General features: G+C 40.6%; 1 non-coding gene and 1 pseudogene across 1 annotated transcript; one reads left to right on the top strand and one right to left on the bottom strand.

The window, feature by feature from the left end:
* Window positions 1-15,896: 15,896 nt before the first annotated feature.
* On the bottom strand, window positions 15,897-16,037 carry LOC124900176 (small nucleolar RNA SNORA70). Its single transcript, XR_007058525.1, has one exon. It is a non-coding gene; the product is annotated as a small nucleolar RNA SNORA70 (small nucleolar RNA).
* RNU6-158P (RNA, U6 small nuclear 158, pseudogene) lies at window positions 19,564-19,663 on the top strand (annotated as a pseudogene).

Raw genomic sequence — 20,065 nt, 5'->3', positions numbered from 1 at the left:
CCAAATGGAAAAAATATTTGAGGGAATTTGGAATACATGTAATATGGGAAAACACTCAAGATATTATTATACCATAATGGTCAAAGAAGGTACAAAACTATTTACAAAGTATAATCTCCACTTCATCAAATATATGCATGTATAAGTAGAGAAAAGACTAGAAGGAAATGCTCAAAATATGAACAGAAGTAGAATTACAGGCTTTAAGAAACTTTTTTATATGAGCCTGTGGTACTTTAATTTACATTTTTAAAAAATTATATTTCAAACAGGAAATACAAGCATATAGTAAAGAATATGAAAGGTATAAATCAATACGCAGTTTAAAAAAAAATTCTCTCCCATGACTGTCCCTGCCCCAGAGGCAAACACAGTTACAGGCTTCTTGTGTGTGCTTGGAGAAGTAGTCTATGTACATACAAGCCCGTATGACCTCCAACCACATTTGGGTTATGGTTTCCCGGGTGAGCAGTTACCCCGGGAAAGAAGAGACTAAAGACTATTTTTCCTAGCTTCCTACCTTCCCCACAAATTCACTCTGAGGATCATAATGAGACAGGAGAATAGGGTTTGGATACCAGGGAATATAAGGACTTCCTAGAACTTAATCAAATGGAAACATTTCAGGTACGAAAGGAAATATCCTCTCCATTTACATAGGGCCTATGCTGAGTAAATGACTTTGTAACTTTACTTCATCCTTTTCGTTTACATAGGGCATACACCAAGTAACCGATGGAAACCTCTAGAGGTTATTTAAACCGCAAAAAATTCTGTAACAAGGCTCTTGAGCCCCTATGTTCAGGCCCGCCCCCACCCTGTGGAGTATGCTTTCATTTTCAATAAATCTCTGCTTTTGTTGTTTCATTCTTTCCTTGTTTTGTTTGTGCACTTTGTCCAGTTCTTTGTTCGAGATGCCAAGAACCTCGACAACCTCAACTGGTAACAGTAGCATTTGTCTTCCCACAATAAAAAGGCCTGTCATGATATTTTGGGACTTCTCTGGTCCTACAAGTTTTCTCCATGTTGCTCCCCAATCCTCTGACTGAAGTTTTCATGCACCAGTGAAGATAAAAGGCTAGACATTAAGTTTGGGGTGAGCTGAGCACTGCAAACTTATTCGATCTGCCTGCACAGAGCTGGATCAAATGGCTGTTAACCAATAACCAGTCCCCTACTCTCTTGTCCTTCTGACCCAGTGTTTCCCAAGCTTTAGTCATTTACACGCCCGCTTCGGGGTTTTTCTTATCCACCTATTCTCTTAATTTTTTTTGCTAAATTAGCTAACTTTTTCTTCTGAAATAAATATTTTAAAGGAAAATTTTCTATTACGAAGTGATTTTTTCACATTAGTTTTTTAAATATATAACTTTTTAAATTCTTTTAAAAAACCCTTGAGTCCTTGGATTGAACTCAACTCAAGGAATCCTCCTGTCTCAGCCTCCTGTGTAGCTGGGACTACTGGCACACACCACTGTGCCTGGCTTCTACAGTAGTTTTCAAATTCACATTGGAATATAACTATCAACATTTTAAAATGTGTCTGCATACCTAGTGGTCATATTTGAAATATTTAACAACCCAGAATGGCGGAGGCAACATGAACAAGCAGTAGGGCTCTGTTGGTTCTTCCTGCCTGGGGGTCAGCCTGCACTGCCCATGTAAGATCACCCTGTATGCCACCAGTGTTGCACTTAACATATTTTAGAAACCCTGCTAGAATCCATGCTACTTTCTTTTGCTAAATTAATCTTCCTAAAATACAAATCTGATGTTGCTTTGCTGATCAAACATTGTCAATGCCAACTTCTCCACATCGCTTAGAGATAAAAGTTCAAACCCCTTCACTTGGCATTTAAAGCTTCTTAATTTGATTACAGCCTACCTTTCCTTTATTATGTAGTGGCTATTTATTTATAGAACATCTATTATGTGTCTTTCCAGCTTTATCTCCTACTGTTGCCTTTAACATATCTTAAACCCTAGCCATGCTTAAATCCCAGAACATACCCTACTCCTCATCTCTGTTCTTTTGCTCATATTATTCTATTCCTCCCTGCTATAGCACCCTTCCACATCCATCCATCTGCATCTGTCAAAATCCTACATAAACTTCAGGACTCAGCTCAGATGACTTCTCCTCCACGAAACCATCCCACACATTTCTGGACCAGAAATAGTCTCTCCCTCCTCTTTCCTCCTATAGCCTTTGGCCATCTACAAAGTATTAAAGCATTATCACAGTTACATTCATGCCTGACTTCACTTCCTTGCAAAAATGAGTATGTTCCCAAAAGTGATCTCTTCCCCTATCTAGCGTCTAGCCTACCCCCTTGCCTCATTTAATCATGTTTCTGGAACTTATATGAACAGTCTCCTAGCAACAGCCCTGCCTATCCTACAGTATCTCACATTTACAAATGGAAATTAGCCCTAGGAACATACATTTATTGGGTTGTCACTCGTGCAAACATACCTGCACTGGAAAGTTTTCCAAAACTTTGCAACTGCTTTGCAGGCCACCGTGTTGTGTTGTTCCATTGGGTTGCATATGTGACTAGATAGATTATTTCAAAAGACAAGGGAAGGAAAGTGTTGGAAATTGAAAGATTCATAAGTCTTATCTGTGCCAACAAGTTGCAACTAGCATTCCATGTAAAAGATGCCAAGAGAGGGAGTCGCTTGTGAGTCAACCATGGTGCCCATAAAAACAAGGGGAAAACATTTCCAGATGCTTGGGCCCTAGGAAACTACACTGTCATTCTCTCTTAATTTCTGATATAGCTGGGAAGACCATAAAGTATATTGCATGTCCATTTCTTGGGCTTTTACCCTAGGTATTTTTACTCTTTACCCTTTGTATTTTACCCTTTGTATTTTCTTTCCCAGTTAAACTTTTACCAGCTAAACACTACGAAACTCTCCTTTAATTAGGTCCTTAATTAGGCCTCAATAAATGGATATGGCATTTATTCAGAACTTCTTAGATATGCACCTGCCTTATAGGGGGAAAAAATCCAAAAACTCATAGGAAGAACAACATAAGCAAAACTACCATGCCTTCTTAAAGTGTCAAACTCTTTGAAGAGATCTCTAGGTGGGAAACAGCTCTGAGTTTCATTTTCCCTTAAGATTCTTCCACTTTGATTCCTATGACACCAACTCCAGCAGCTGCCAAGGCCTGCTTGTTCTTTCTTTAAGGATCTGGTTTATGCATATCCAAGAGACATTTCCTTACCCTTTAACACATTTAAGACAGGAAAGAAGTTTCAAAAAGACTTTGTAAAATGCCAAGGGGCACACAGAGGAAGTAAATATAGACAACATAAGAAATAGTTTGGGTAAGTAGTTCTCAACCAGTGCTCCTTTAGGGGGCATTTGGCAATGTCTGGAGACATTTTTGGCTGTAACAACTGGGTAGTACTACTGATCTCCAGTGAGTAGAGCATCCCATGTCTCCCTACTATAATACCTACAGCAGAGCTGCTGCTAGCCCTCCCACAATGCTCACAACAGAGCCCTGCAACAAAGAATTATGTCAATAGTGATGAGGTTGAGAATCCCTGGTCAGTTTATGTGATTCCTAACTCTAGGGAGCCACTTTCTGAGTCCCAGCCCTATCTTATTCTAATTGCCATCTGAGACAACTACATCCTGGCTCCAAAGGCCTGGGACCTCTTTTTTCTTGGCTCTTAACCTGTCCCCACATGACGGGTATCTTGTAAAGACATCCTTCTCATAACCTCTCCCCTAGTCATCCTCATGTCTCTCTGCTGAAGACCAGAAAAGGAACATCTTCCTGATGTTACTAACCTACACATTTTCCATGCAATTCTGGGATACAGACCCCTTGCCTAGTTGATGATGCCATGAATAATCTCATCCTTCAGGTATGACCTCACTCCTTACACCCATGACTGTGGCTTTACCCTCCTATCCAACAGCATAAACACACATTATGCAAAACGATCACAACACCCACTTAACATCAATGCTCCATATATGGCCCCAGGTAAATCATTCAGATATAAGCCCCCTCCAACATCAACAGTTCTTGCAGCTGACGAACAGTGGCCCAGATATTGTCATGGAGAGGAAGAGTCATTCAACAAATCCCAGCGCTGAGCCCTGTGCTTGGTGGCAGGGATAGCACCATGGAACAAGATAGATGCAGACTATACTATATAGATCAATCGATAAACTGGCAATTATAATGAACTCTATGCCAGGCCCAATGCTGTCCGTTTTATGTACGTAATCTCAATGATGATAATTATCCTGCAAGTTAGGTACTTTAAAGTTGAGAAAATAGGGTTTGGTGGTTAGAAACCTCTCCCCAGCCACACTTTTCTTAAGTTATGGAAGCAAAGTTCAACTTCATATCTATTTTATCCCTCCTGGGATATATCAAGAGGCATTTTTTAGAGCCCAAGCCCCATATTCTCTTCTGCCCCCTTCTGGCTAGCACAAATTTTATATCCTGCAGGAAGAAAAGTGAGAGTGGGAGAAAGATGCTGATTCATGTTTCTCCCTGCTCCCCCAGCAAATGCATTGGCTCATTTGCCTTGTGGAAAAATTGATTATTTGTACTGCAGATTGTATCACAAAGGAGGGATTGGAGATCTTCTCCCGCATGGACCTCCATCTGCTATCCACTTTGTTGGAGTCAAATAAAATATAGAGACAAATCTCTAAATCTAAAATATTTATTGGGAAGCATCAATTACAATTCAGGGCAGACACACAGACCAGGTGGTCTTCGGTATGTCCAAAGAACAAAGAGAAGGTTGGAAGTTTTATTAGAAAGACAATTGTAACATATTGTTTTGAAAGAAAAAACTCTCACTGACACTAAAGAAGCTTCTGGGAGCTGGCCAGCTCTGACTGGTGAGTGACAGTAGTAGTCTTACTGTCATGGCAGTTTGTTTAGGCAGCTACTAGGTAAAACTGATCACAGGGTTACAGCAGGCCATTTCATCAGCTGGGCTTGTGGAAAATTTAAATCTTGGAGCAGGTACTCTATGCCCCAAGTACTTTTCACCCAGACCCTCAAGTCTGATTTAGTTGGTGATATGGTTTGGTTCTGTGTCCTCACCCAAATCTCATCTTGAATTGTAAACCTCACGTGTCAAGGGAGGGACCTGGTGGGAGATGACTGGATCATGGGGGCAGTTTCCCTCATGCTCTTCTTGTGATAGTGAGAGAGTTCTCATGAGATCTGATAGTTTTATAAGGGGCTCTTCCCCCTTCACTCGCTGTTGCTCTCCTGTCGCCATGTGAAGAAGGTGCCTGGTTCCCCTTCTGCCATGACTGTAAGTTTCCTAAGGCCTCCCCAGCCATGAGGAGCTGTGAGTCAATTAAAGTTGCTTCCTTTATAAATTACTTAGTCTTGGATATTTCTTTATAGCAGTGTGAAAATGGACTAATACAGTTGGGTATGACAAGAATGATTCAATTTATATAATCAACCTTCACATCTACTAGCAAGAGTATAATGCTCTGCTGGAAGATCAGAAGATAAGAAATTAAAATGTCTTTAAATTATGACCAGACTCAGACAAGAGGAGTCATTAAAATGTCAGACAAGAGGAGAAAATGAAAGAATAGAGAATTGAATTTGCCAGCAAACACATTTATTAAATGGAGCCCAGGAGAGACTTGCAAAACTCCATCTTCACAAATGTTATAAGAATGTCCAACATGATCATCCGTGGTACAGGGAGCATGGAGCCGTCAGGTCTGGGCCCTGTTCTGAATCCCAAAGACGTCACAGTCAGGAGCAGTTAACCCTGTACACTGGACCAACCCAAGATGATACAATTGCTCCCTGTAATTGTGTAACTGCCTTTTCAACTCTGGAAAAGATTAGAATTGAATAGAGATGAAGAAGCAAATCAAAAGCTTAAAAAACTAATAGCTTTATGTTCTCTCTAGCAATCAGGTCTATAATCATTAGGACAACCTAAAGGTTTAATTAAAGGTTTTTGAGAATATAGCAGATTAGAAAATCCAATGGATTAGCTTGGTGACTTTCATTTGAAAGGTGTAATTGGCTTTGACTTCTAATTTTAGGTTGAAAAGCATAAGTAATCTTGAACAAATATTTAAACAGCATTGAATATTTAAGAGAACAAAGGGTAACTATATTTTATAAATGTGATTTATTGAATGTACAAGAGTTAATCTAAGTACTTAGAAAGGTTTTTGTTTGTTAAGTCATAAATTTTCCTTGTCAGGCATTTGAAGCACTTACAAAAATTAAATGTATTTATAAGTGTAGTTTCAAATGTTTAAGGAAATTTAATTAATCTTTTAAGTGGGAACAATGTTTAGGGGAACTTAATCTGTTAACGTTGAGTTACTCAACATTAATCTGAGGCCAATTAAAGGTGATTGTTCCTGTTTTGTTCGCTTTATAAAAAGTCTAACAAGATTTCTAAATTTAACATAAAGGCTTTAAAACTAAGTTTTGCTGGGCGCGATGGCTCACGCCTATAATCCCAGCACTTTGGGAGGCTGAGGCGGGCAGATCACAAGGTCAGGAGATCAAGACCATTCTGGCTAACACGGTGAAACCCCGTCTCTACTAAAAATACAAAAATTAGGCGGGCGTGGTGGCAGGTGTCTGTAGTCCCAGCTAGTCGGGAGGCTGAGGCAGGAGAATGGCATGAACCCGGGAGGCAGAGGTTGCAGTGAGCCGAGATCGTGCCACTGCACTCCAGCCTGGGCAACAGAGCGAGACTCCGTCTCAAAAAAAAAAAAACTAAATTTTAATATTTGTAATTTCTTTTAAATTTTTAATTTTAAGTACAAACAAGAAAATCCTAAAAATAGTTCTTTCCTGACAAAAAGACCCCTCCCTGAGCATTTTTTTAAAATGTAGGTGATAGATAATGTGACTAGGAATGCTTCCCAAACTTTTTCAAGGACTCTGGAAGGATGGGAGATTATTTAAGTGGCCAGCTGCAAACATATATTTGCTTTGACATCTGAAATATTATCTTTAAAAATAAATTTTGTACTCCATTCCATATTAACACTGTACTCTGAACAGACCCAAGATGGTACAATTGCTCATCTATTTAATATGAAAATATTTTCCCTAAACACCTTCCAAGTACCTTACAAGTACCCTTGCTAGAGAAGCAAAAGCTTAGACCATGAGCCCAGCTCAGCCGGAGAATATGATTCTTATGACACATGCTAACAGGTATTCTCCAGCCCCACCGCCCACCTCTCTATCTCCACCCCAGGGTTACTATTGTGAGAAAGCTGCCTTTCAGATGCCTTGAGATCTTAGATCTTTTGTATAGCAAAGAGGGAGTTCAAAATAAGCCAGCCCTCCCACCTCCCATTTCCTGCCACTGTTAGAGCCCTTCAAATGAGCTTGGGTTTCTCTGGTTTGCACTGGAAACCACCTGTGCTGGTTATTAAGGTACTGTTTCTCAGCTCCAAACCTGCCTTGCATAAACTGCTTTGCGATACTCTGGCTGAACTTGGCCAAAAAAAAAAAAAAAAAAAATCTGTTCTTTGGCCTGCTTGCTACCCTATTCGGTCCTGCCAATAGGGGGCACTAGAGAGGCTGCAAGATTAGCAGGACACTTGTTGCAGACTCCAGCTTTTGTCAACATACCCGGAGCCAGCCTCATTTTACCCTCGCAGTGGTGCCAGCACCACCCGGATATGGCTTCCTCCTCAGGGATCTGCATCCCAGCTCCAAGAGGCTCCTCCTCGAAATTTCTAGATTAAAATAATCCCAGCAACTTCCTTTTGTTCCCGCAGCCCTATGGAGCGGTAGCTACTTCTTGTGGTTATTTCTCTGTTCACACCGGTGTTCCCTTTGCTCCTTTAGCCCTCCAACACCGATTTCTCACATTATCTTCTGTCTGTTGTAGTAGCCAATGTGGTTTCTGCTTTCCTGACTAGATTCTGACTCATACATTAGATTCCACTCCCTGTTGTCCACTCCCTTTGTCCCATTGATCCAGGCTCACAAGGAGAAAGGGGGAGTCGCCTCAGGCTCGAGGCCTACATTGAATCCATCCTCATTGCCCAGCCATGGTCTGTGGGCACTTGGCAGCAAGCCCCAGTGTGTAGGGTGGTGCTCTGTTTGTTTTAATACTGCCATAGAGAAGTACTTTCTGGGCTTGGCGCCGTGGCTCATGCCTGTAATCCCAGCATTTTGGGAGGCAGAGGAGGGAGATCCCTTGAGTTCAGGAATTTCAAGCTGCAGTTGAGCTATGATCATGTCACAGCACTCCAGCCTGGATGACATAGGGAGATCTTGTCTCTAAAACAGAATATATATATATATTTATATATATATTATTTATATATATTTATATATATATTATTTATATATATTTATATATATATTATTTATATATATTTATATATTTTTTATATATTTATATATATTTATATATTATTTATATATATATTTATATATATTTATATATATTTTTATATATATTTTTATATATTTCTATATATATTTATATATATTTATATGTATATTTATATATATTTATATGTATATTTATATATATTTTTATATATATTTATATATATTTATGTGTATATATATTTTAAGAAAAGTTCTTTCTGTATATCTTTGGATGTACAATAAATTTCTCATTCAAAAACCCATATATTCTATTTAGAAGAATGCCTGAGAAGAATCTTATAAAAGTCCCTGAACTCATATTTTCATAAAGATTCTGTTCTTCCTGTCTTATGTTTATACCTCATTTGAATCTCCCAACAAATCCATGAGGGAGGTGGGGTGGGCACATCATCTCCATGACCAGGGAGAACCTGAGAGGGAGCTCCCTCTGCTGTCTGCTCTCACCTGGACCAACTAGTGGCAGAACTGAATCTCTTTATTTCTTCTCTCTTCTGTCTCCAACATGTGCTTAACACAATGGTTTTTCTATTAATTTTCTACCGATGCATGACAAATGCCACAAATGTAGTGGCTTAAAACAACACCCATTTATTAGCTTGCAGTTCTGTCCATCACATGTCCAGCACAGAGTGGCTGGGCTCTCTGCTCTGATATCCCAATGGTGAAATCAAGGTATCCGCTGGGCTGACACTGAGGAAAATTCATTTCCAAGATCATTCTTGCCATTGGTAGAATCCAGTTCCTTGCAGCTGTAGCCTGAGGTCCCCATTTCTTTGCTGTCTGCCAGGCAGGTGCCACTCTCCATTCCTAAAGACTGCTCAAGTTCCTTGTCATCCCTTCATCTTCAAGCCAGCAACAGCACATCGAATCCTCCTTGTACTTCTAACCTCTGATCTCTTCTTCTGCCATCAGTCAAAGAAAACTCTCTCCTCTTAAAGAGTTCATGTGCTGGGTACAGTGAATCACACCTGTAATTCCAGCAGTTTGAGAGGCCAAGGCAGGAGGATCACTTGAGCCCAGGAGTTCGAGACGAGCCTGGGCCACACAGCCAGACCCCCATTTCTACAAAAAAAAAAAAAAAAGGAAGGAAGGAGGGAGGGAGGGAGGGAAAGAGAAGGAAGGAAGGAAGGGAGAGAGAGAGAAAGAAAGCAAGAAAGAAAAAGAGAGAGAAAAAGAGAAGGAAGGGAGGGAGGGAAGGAGAGAGGAAAGAAAGGAAAGAAAAGAAAGAAAGAAGGAAAGAAAAGAAAGAAGAGAGAGAGAAAGAGAGAGAAGGAAGGAAGGAAAGAAGGAAAGAAGGAAGGAAGGAAGGGAGGGAGGGAGGGGGGAGGAAGAGTTCATGTGATTAGGTCAGGCTCCAGGCTTGCTGGGATAATCTCCCTATTTTAAGAGGAACTATGCTTATAACATAATCTAATCATGGGAGTAAAATCCACCAAATTCACAGTCCTGGGATTATGCAGGTCTTGTGCACCACAGGTGAGAAATCTTGGTGGCTTCTTAATTCTGCATACCACAGGACTTGTTTCCCATGGTGTTTTCTGCAGACTCCACCATCAGAATAGCTGAAGATAATGCATTAAAAATGAAGATTCTTTGGTTCAAACACAGACCTCTGAATCAATCTCCAGGAGACTGGATCTAAGAATCTGCACCTAACACAAACTTCTCACATGATTCTGATGCTCAAGAAAATTGGAGAACCTAGAATTTCAGAGTGGCATTTCACAGTCTGGGTTAGAACAGAGCATCGTCTCTACTCTGTGTGGTGTGCAGCCCAAATGCCATCAGGACCTATACACTCGCTTCTCCAGCTGGGGAAGGAGAGTATGAGCTCTTCCCAGCTCCCAGGTGAGTCCCTCCAAAGGGGTTGCCCTCCTGTGAAAGGAGCTACCTTGTCCTCTCTCTGGAAGCCACCCATTTCCAATGACTGGTCAATGTGGCAGGTACCAAGACCTACTCCCTCCTTGCTTCAATGTGGGCCATACCTGAAGGGCCATCCCAGCTTTCGCTTTCCCACTGAGATCACCTGAGGCCTCTCTTGTTCGTGCAGTTCAACTTTGTCTGCCCCACCTTGCACCCCTCACTCCTGTACAGGCATCCCAAGCGCTCTCCTCAAGAAACCTCACACCCAAATCTCCATCTCGGAGTCTGTTTCCAGGGAGCCTAATCTAAGACACACACATAGAGTTTATTGGAGATCTGTCTTTGTCGCTCTGTCTCAAATGATATACCCAATCTGTCATTATCTCCATGGCTACCTCATCTAAGCTGCCATTTCTCTTTCTTCTCCCCTCCCGCATCACATGCCATTCTCTACACACCAGCCCCAGGGAACCCTAATAGCCCTTGATGATTTCTTTGTTTGCTGCCTACTTCTTGCATTAGATGTAAGCTTGAGGAAGGCGGAGACTGTTTTTTGTGGTTGTTATTGTTCACCCCTGTCTCTTTGGCATAGAATAAAGGCCAATAAATGCTTGTTGGATAAATTAGTGGATTAAAGCACCAAACTCTCAATGATACAAAAAGACACCACCAGTCAGGTATAAGCAAATTCAAATTTTTTTTTCAGTCCACCACTACAATGAGAAGGTACAAGCAAATTAAAATTAGAAAATGGACCCTGTACGTTTTACCCCCAAATTAGGTATATGAAGTTCATCTGGAAACTTTCCTTAAACATGAGGATTTTAGGTTACTTTTGAAAAATGTGAGGGAAAGAAGAAACTGGCCTCTGAGTTATTTTGGATCCCACTATCCAACTGTCATATCTTTTCTGTTACATAACAGTTATATTCCAGCAATAATGAGTTATAACATTAATATCTGAAGAGTAAATCTCATTCTCTCTGTGACTACCAAAATTAGTGGTACATTTTCTGAGTGGGCAGGGAATAATAATTTCTTCATAGATTCAACTGAAAACTCTTTAGAAGACACATGAGCCTCGTTCTGCATAATTCTGTAAGTTCTAATGTAGGTCCAGTGGATTTATTTAAAATGAGGGATCTGTTACTTGCCAAGTGAGCTTGAGAAATGAAAAACACATAAATCATTCTTACCTATAGCTTCTTTTTTGGAAAGGTACTAATCTTAGCTGCAGTGATTAGTGAGGAAAGGGGTACATGTTCACTGAGCTAGTCATTCCTGAAACAGGATTCAGGAAAGGGCAGTTTTGTGACTCAAGTGCAGTTTTGGAATGACTTTTATGAAGGAAGAAAGCAATGTTCTCCAGGTAGTCAGAATAATTCAGACTCCAAAAGTATCACCTGATTTATAAGTAGTAATTTGCCAGCCTTGGCTTCTTCAGAGGAGAAAAATCCTTGAAGGTATGTGTATATATTATGTATATATTTTTAAGTGCCAAAAAGTGCATGACATCATTGTTAATTTAAGAGCAAAAATTCAAGATCATAAAAAGAGGGAGAAGACCTATTCGTTGACCAGAGCAGACTTATGTGACATGCAGAGAATGAACTCTTGCCATGTACATTTGGAGTCCAATCATTTCAAGCCCATCAATAGTGCAATTGAGTACACATGGGCACAGAGAGCCTTCCTAAGGTATTACAGCAAGTCACAAAATCATAAACAAAACCAAAAAAATACATATCTTTGTGTCTGTGTCTCATGGACCTAGTTATTCCTGCCTGATGCCAACATCAGATTGAGAACAATAAAAATTTATTCAAACCAATAGCCAAGGAAGAAACTGAAAATATTTTCAAGAATTGCCTCTACATATGGGTTTTGGCATCAAGTAGTCATACTGCCTATAGTCTCACACTTGCAAAGAATAATTAATTCCAATGCAATATAAAATGTTCCAGGATTTAAAAAAGAATTACCCAATTTATTTTACAAAGCTAAAATAAATTACAGCAAACCCCAAAATGACCAGCACAGAAAAGAAAAATATGAAAACAGCATTTATTTTGGAGAGACTTCTAGCATTACATAACCAAATTAAGTATGCAGGTGCCCTCTGACTCAGAAATTCCACTGATGAGCACATATCCTGGAAACATTCCCAGGCAGGCTGAAGAGGGAAATGTACATGGTGGATCATTGCAGCATGGTGGTGGCAAGGAGATGGCATCACTGGGAGAGTGAATGGGTAAAATGTGGTGCAGGTACACCACAGAGTATTTTGCTGTGGGTAGAAGCAATTAGTTGGACATACTTAGAGCAGTAGAAATTGATTTTAAAATATGGTACATAGTGAAAAACGCAAGAAACAGAACAATATAAAATACAATATCACTTAAACAATATGCAAACCAGTAATATATGCTTTTCAAAGACACATTCAAAGAGAAATAAACATACACATTAAAAGTATTACTGATTGGAGACAATGGGACTAGGATATAAAATAAAGGGAGTAAATAAATGTATGGCTGCATTCCAATTTCCGTGGGCCCGAGTCCCTTTCGCCTTCATGGGTCCTTTCCTCCATTAGAAAAGTATTTAAAAATCATATTTTACAACTGTGTTGGTATAAAGATAAATATATTAATATTATGTATTAAAACATTTTCTCTGGGCCAGGGATGGTGACTCACACCTGTAATCACACTTTGGGAGGCCAAGGCAGGAGGATTGCTTGAGGCCAGAAGTTCAAGACCAGCCTAGGCAACATAGTGAGACCCTGTATCTATTAAAAATAAATAAATAAATAAATAAATAAAATTAAAATAAAAACTTCTTTGCCCTAAAAGTACATTTTTACTTCTGACTTACAAGAAATTAAAACACTTTCCTGGGCCCCTTAATGTATCATGAGCCCTAAGATACTGTGCTTTCTGTGCCTGATTTGACTCTGAATAAATGAATGAATGAATGACAATGGGTCCTTGTAGGAACAACTGATAATTGTATGTCAGGAACTAAGGAGTATGATTCATTCAGTGCTCTGCATTTTAGGTCCAAAAACCTTTCCAGAAACAGCAGTTCCTTAGGTGTGTTGAAGAACTCTGACTTATGAAAGCAGGATATTACTAAGACTTATGAAAAAAAAAGGAAGCTTTCCCAAAAACGTATTCCATGTGGAAAATGCTGAGTTAAACAAAGCTAAGCAGGTTTTTATATCTTATGATCTGTCAGAACCTTTACTATATAGTGTAATATAAGTTATGAATCCGCAAGAAGGTGCGCAGGGAAGTTAACAAGCAGGGTTTCCCAAAGCCATTTAACAGTGACATTCTTCTGCTTTGATGGTAAAGGCACTGAGCGCTGAGAACTCCCTGAAAAGCTTGGCCCAGGTCAGTCCCTGCCCCAGGATCAGGCAGGTGAATTCACTCACAGCTGTCTGAGCCTGGACCCCCGTCTACCCTGCCTGCCCAGGCAGAGCTGTGCTTCCACTCAGGCTGGCAGACTGGGGCTCTTCAACCTCTAGGTTGCAGGACAGTCCCTGGGGACCACTGTGGCCCAGGTCAGGACCAAGCCAGAGATTGTGGGTATGGTTTAATTTACAACCTCTGAATACTTAGACATAAAGTATGCGGGCTTTCATTTGTACAATACACTTCCTTGTCTTTTTCAGTTTTAGAGGCTGCCTGCATTCCTTGGCTTGTGGCCCCTTCCTCACATCACTCCAACCTCTTGCTTCTGGGGCCACATCTTCTACTACTGCCTTTGACTTTATTCCCTCCTTCTTATAAAGACCCTTGTAATTACATTGGGTCCACCTAGAAAATCCAGATAGTCTCCCTATTTCAATATCCTTAATGTAATCACGTCAGCAAAGATCCTTTTACCATGTAAGGAAACATTCACTGGTTCCCAGGATTAGGAGGTGGATATCTTTGGGGGCTATTGTTCTAACAGTCCTTGAGAGATTTCAGTGAGCAGAGCTCCACCTGCTAAGCTGCATTAGACATGCAGTATGAGAAAAAAAATTGGGGGTGCATTGACTCACTGAGATTTAGGAGGTTGTCTATTACTACAGCAGAATTTAGCACACATTTATACCTCATTTCATTTTTGCCTCCTGTTTATATTTTGCAATAACTCTATGCATTAAATATGACTTTTTAAAATAAAGTACTTTTAAAATAATATACTAGGAATAATCAATCTATGAGCAAACCAAAGAGTGTTTTTGTTCTTGAAAAAGGTAACTTCAGATCTGTAGACTTAAAAATAAACATTGCCCACATTTAATATCCTAACAAAATTCTTTCCTGACTCTGAAAAATCTTCAGATTCCCTTTGTTCCAAAAAAACTAAGAGGTGGCCGGGCACAGTGGCTTATGCCTGTAATCCCAGCATTTTGGGAGGCCAAGGTGGGCGGATCACGAGGTCAGGAGGTGGAGACCATCCTGGCCAACATAGTGAAAGCCTGTCTCTACTAAAAATAAAAAAATTAGCTGGGCGTGGTGGTGCCTGCCTGTAATCCCAGCTACTCCGGAGGCTGAGGCAGGAGAATTGCTTGAACCCAGGAGGCGGAGGTTGCAGTGAGCTGAGATCGCACCACTGCACTCCAGCCTGGCGATATAGCGAGACTTCATCTCAAAAAAAAAAAAAAAAAAAAAAAAAAACTAACAGATTAGCAATGTTGATTTACTTAGATGTCGAACCAGGTGAAAGTAACAAAGAAAACAAACTTGATTGAAAGATTGTTAAATCTAGTCCCTAAATCTAGTCCTAGGAAAAACCTAGAAGTTGAGGAATGAGGATGGAGGGAGTTTTTCCTGATAATGGAAATGCAAATACACTTACCTGACTTTCTAAAGCACAATCCTTTCCCTAGTTCATGTAATCGTGTGTTATAGGTCATAAAACGTAGAGTGAGAAATGTTTTACAGTCTTGAATTACAGAGTCCAAGCTGTGCCACCATCCACATGTCTTCTTCATAAGTTGGATGGACTTCTGGACATGTCAGTCTCAGTACAAATCAGTGGTCACCAGCTTTTTGATTGTGACCCTCTAATCAGCAAAAAATGTTCAGCCCATACTTCCATTATGTATACTTACCAATGTATTACAAGCATTACAATACGTGCACAAAAAAAGACACTAAAAGATGATATAAAGATAAATAATATTATTATTTCTTTATTTTGGGGGTTAGGAAGTAGGCTTTATTGGTGGGTGTGAATAAGGAGGGGCAAAACAGTGGGAGCCCCCATAAGTACAGGGCCCACCACTTGTCCAGGGGGCCATGATTGGGGGTGTTCGACCTGATAGCTGTCTAGGATGAGCTGTTTCACAGCTACCATGTCTTCAAATTCATCCACATTAATCTTGGTAAAATCTCACTTCTTTGAAATATGGATCTTCTAGCAGCTAGGGAACTTGAACTTGGTCCTGTGTGGGGTCTTAATCACATACTCCTTGTTCTGCAGCTTGGTGCAGATGAACATAATGACTTGGCCAATGTGGATCTTTCCTCCCATGCCCTGGGGCTTTCAAAGGCACCCTGCGTACCTATCTAGAGCACAGACTGGAGACAGTGTCAGGTCAGGGACATGAATGTCCATTGGAAAGGGCTGTCTCCAAGGTCCTTAGGGCAATGCTTACAACATACAAGCAACACGGTGCACATACTACCGAGAAGGCTGCTGTTCGCAGCCATGGCACACCTGGCCCTTACAAGGAAAGGAACATGATTGGCTTAATTGACTGTAAGAAATACTATTTTAAATGTCTTTCAAATCATGCTACAATCATTAATATTTCAAGGCAAAATATTCCCTTAAGTTGTGGTTCCTCATTAATGATAATGGATGTAAATACAACTTGCAAGCCATCTCCTTGCTAATTTTGACTATTTTGTCAGACTTCTCATCAAATCTCATTTGAGCCTTATTATTTTGGCCTTTCAATGTGGGTAGCAAAGAGTTTTTTCTAGGAGTAGAACTGGTCTGCTCTTTTTATTGTTGTTTTTGTTGTTGTTGCTTCTTTGCTTCTACTCATGTTATTGTTTTCACGTCAATCCATGGTTTCTTTGCAGGAAATCTTTTTTTTTTTTAATACTTTAAGTTTTAGCATACATGTGCACAACGCGCAGGTTAGTTACATATGTATACATGTGCCATGTTGGTGTGCTGCACCCATTAACTCGTCATTTAACATAAGGTATATCTCCTAATGCTATCCCTCCCCTCTCCCCCCACCCCACAACAGGCCCCGGTGTGTGATGTTCCCCTTCCTGTGTCCATGTGTTCTCATTGTTCAATTCCCACCTATGAGTGAGAACATGTTGCAGGAAATCTTTTTAGGTCATTTGTCTGTTTTTACGAGAGTTAATTTAATTAAAATTAGAGACTATTATCTAAAAACCAGTTATGACAATATAGCTGACCATATATAAACTGTAATGCATCACACTGTGCTGAAAGCAAAAGAGTGAGGAAACCACCATCAACCCACCTTTTCTGGAACTCCCACTCTTCCCTCGGGTGCCTCCGTGTACGGTACAACCACCACACAAAGCCAGGTGACATCTGGATAAAGGGAGGGTGCCACTGTCAATCCACATATTTACTTTCATAATGCTTCTGGGAAGCATGTGCCATACTCTGTAGAACCCTAATATAAGTAGCTGAGGCCCGGCGCAGTGGCTCGCTCATGTAATCCCATCTGTTTGGGAGGCTGAAGAAGGTGGATCGCTTGAGTCCAGGAGTTTGAGCCCAGCCTGGGCAACATGGTTTTCATGTTGATGGGGGTTTCATGTAGAAACTCCATCTCTACAAAAAAAAAAAAAAATAGCTGGGCATAGTGGCGCACGCCTGTAGTCCCAGCTCTTCAGGAGGCAGAAGCAGGAGGATCACTTCAGTCTGGGAGGTCCAGGCTGCAGTGAGCTGTGATTGTGCCACTGCACTCCAGCCTAGGTAACAGAACGAGAACTGTTTCCAAAAAAATAAAACAAAATAAGAAGAAAGAAAAAAAATAAGTATCTGAAATGCAAGTTTCTAAAAAGGCTTTTACATGGGCAATCAGTTTAGGTATGTGGCAAAAGACCCATAATCTAGTCTAATAATGTTGCTATTACAAAACAAATTACAAAGAAACTGAAGCCAGAAAGCCTAATCCCACAGAGGGCTTTTGGCAATTAGGGCCAGAAACCAGATAGTCTGAGTCTGGGGCCTTTATTTCCATTACACCATGAGATTATGAATGAGTAAACTTAGAAATTTCATGACCAAATTAAGTCCTGCTGGCCTCCCTTCAGCATGCTGTGCTCTGTGATGAGGGGGAAAGACGCAAGCCAAGAACAGGGAGAAGCCAGGAGGTAACAGGTCCAGCCCTGGAGATGGAGGAGGATTTTTAGTTCCCTGCAAGATAATTATAAAGAAAATATATTTATTTATAAGAAAACATTGAAAGAATACAAGAAACTATTAGAAGTGGTTACCTTTAGGAGTGGGGTGAGGGTGGCAGGAATGTGGTGGACAAAAATAGGGCTGGGGACCAGACTTCACAGTGCATACCTTGTATATAGCTCTGATTTTTTTTTTTTTTTTTTCTGATGGAATCTCGCTCTGTTGCCCAGGCTGGAGTGCAGTGGTACAATCTCCACTCACTACAACCTCCACTTCCAGGGTTCAAGCAAATCTCCCATTTCAACCTCCTGAGTAGCTGGGATTACAGGTGCACTCCACCATGCCTGGCTAATTTTTGTATTTTTAGTAGAGATGGGGTTTCACCATATTGGCCAGGCTTGTCTAGAACTCCTGAACTCAAGTGATCCACCCGCCTCATCCCTCCAAAGTGCTGGGATTACAGGCATGAGCCCCTGTGTCTGGCCTAGCTCTGATTTTTGAGCCAGACTAGTGTATTACCTATAGAAAGGTATTTATAAAGGACATAGTTTGCCTCCCATTGTATCTCTAGCTGTATGTCTCACTGAAAAGTATACTCAGATAGATAGATTAAGGTTCTTCTGAAAAGAGTTATTTGTGCCTTCTCTACCAGAAATTCAAGGATATTATTAATATGGTTTGGATTTGTGTCCCCGCCCAAATCTCATGTCGAATTATAATCCCCCGTGTTGGAGGAGAGAGGGAGGTGATTACATCATGGGGGCAACTTCCCCCCTGCTGTTCTTGTGATTGTGAGTTCTCCCAATTTCTGGTTGTTTAAAAGCATGTAGCCCTTTCCCCTTCACTCTCTTTTCCTCCTGCTCCAGCCATGAGGACCTGCTGGCTTTCCCTTAGCCTTCCACCATGATTGTAATTTTTCTGAGGCCTCTCAAGCCACGCAGAACCATGAGCCAATTAAACCTCTTTTGTTTATAAATTACCCAGTCTCAGGTATTCCTTTATACCAGTGCGAGAATTGACTAATATATTCAGGGCTACATCGATTATATTGATATATATTAATTACATTCAAGGACAGCCAGCCAGGAAGATGTCTGGTGTGCCGACCTACAAGAAATGATAAAATGTTCCTGGAAATGTAATAAGATGAAGGCAATTATAGTTCCCTCCTGTACTGGTAAAGTTCAATCAGGGAAGCAAGACCATTATGAGCACTATGGGGTAAGTTATTTATTGTGGAGTTAGACTTTCCACAATCTGGGGAAAAGCTGAGGAAGAAAAGTCTGAAAAGCACCAGAAAAAAGCCACTAATCAGCCCTGGAGCCGGTGAACAAATCGAAGCTTGCTGGATGTGAGGTGCCACTGACTGCTGGAGGGCAACTATGAAAGTGCTGGCATAGAAGTCTATGGAAGGCTCTTTGTGGCTTCCGCCTCTGTGAGCTCACAGCAGAGCATCTTATGGTGGGCCTGGTTCATGGCTGGTCAGTAGGGCCAGCAGTCAGGAAGATCTGGACATTGAGCGGAAAAAATTGAAGACAAGGTGGCACTCACAGGCACTGTTGTTTTTTGTTTTTGTTTTGTTGTTGTTGTTGTTGTTGTTGTTGTTGTTGTTGTTGTTGTTTTGAGACGGAGTTTCACTCTTGTTGCCCAGGCTGGAGTGCAATGGCACGAACTTGGCTCACGGCAACATCCACCTCCTGTGTTCAAGCAATTCTAGTGCCTCGGCCTCCGGAGTAGCTGGGATTACAGGCGCCTTGCCTCGGCCTCCCAAAGTGCTGGGATTACAGGCGTGAGCCACCTCGCCCGGCCCCCACAGGCACTGTTAACCACACCTACCAATCATAGCCTTCAAAGTGCAATGGCTGCTGCTTCATTCCTGATCTCAAATTTCACACAAGGTGCTCACTTCAAAATTGGAATGATATAGAGAACATTAGCATGGCCTCCGGATGGGATGATGCACAAATTCATGAAGTGTTCCATATTTTCAGCTTTCTTTTAATATCATGCAGTTATTTAGGTAATAAGAAATATTAAGTAATTGGCTTTAGATTTTGTAATTTTCTCCCTGAGTTTCTGCTGGATCTTTACATTCTAGTAGTCAATGTATTTTCAGTGAAATGTAAAAATATTCCTGTTCTCTTTGATCAGTATTAATTTCTTGAAATCATATTGTCACTTGAATCCTGTAGCTGTCATTCGTCTCTGTTATAAGCAATGTTTGATTTTTGATGGGTGTAGACCAGCTCTTCTTCATTTTTTCATCATGTTTTCAAGATGTGATTTTACATTTCTGCATCTTAAAAACAGTTTGGTCATAATTCTAGATACACACTACTAACTTATGTACCTACACATGTGACCTTTGTGAACAGGAATTGCCATGCCCAA

The sequence above is a fragment of the Homo sapiens genome, chromosome 4 (genome assembly GCF_000001405.40).
Source record: "Homo sapiens chromosome 4, GRCh38.p14 Primary Assembly".
Lineage (NCBI taxonomy): Eukaryota > Metazoa > Chordata > Mammalia > Primates > Hominidae > Homo > Homo sapiens.
Note: the sequence above shows the minus strand (reverse complement) of the source record. Positions and strands in the feature narration are given on the sequence as shown.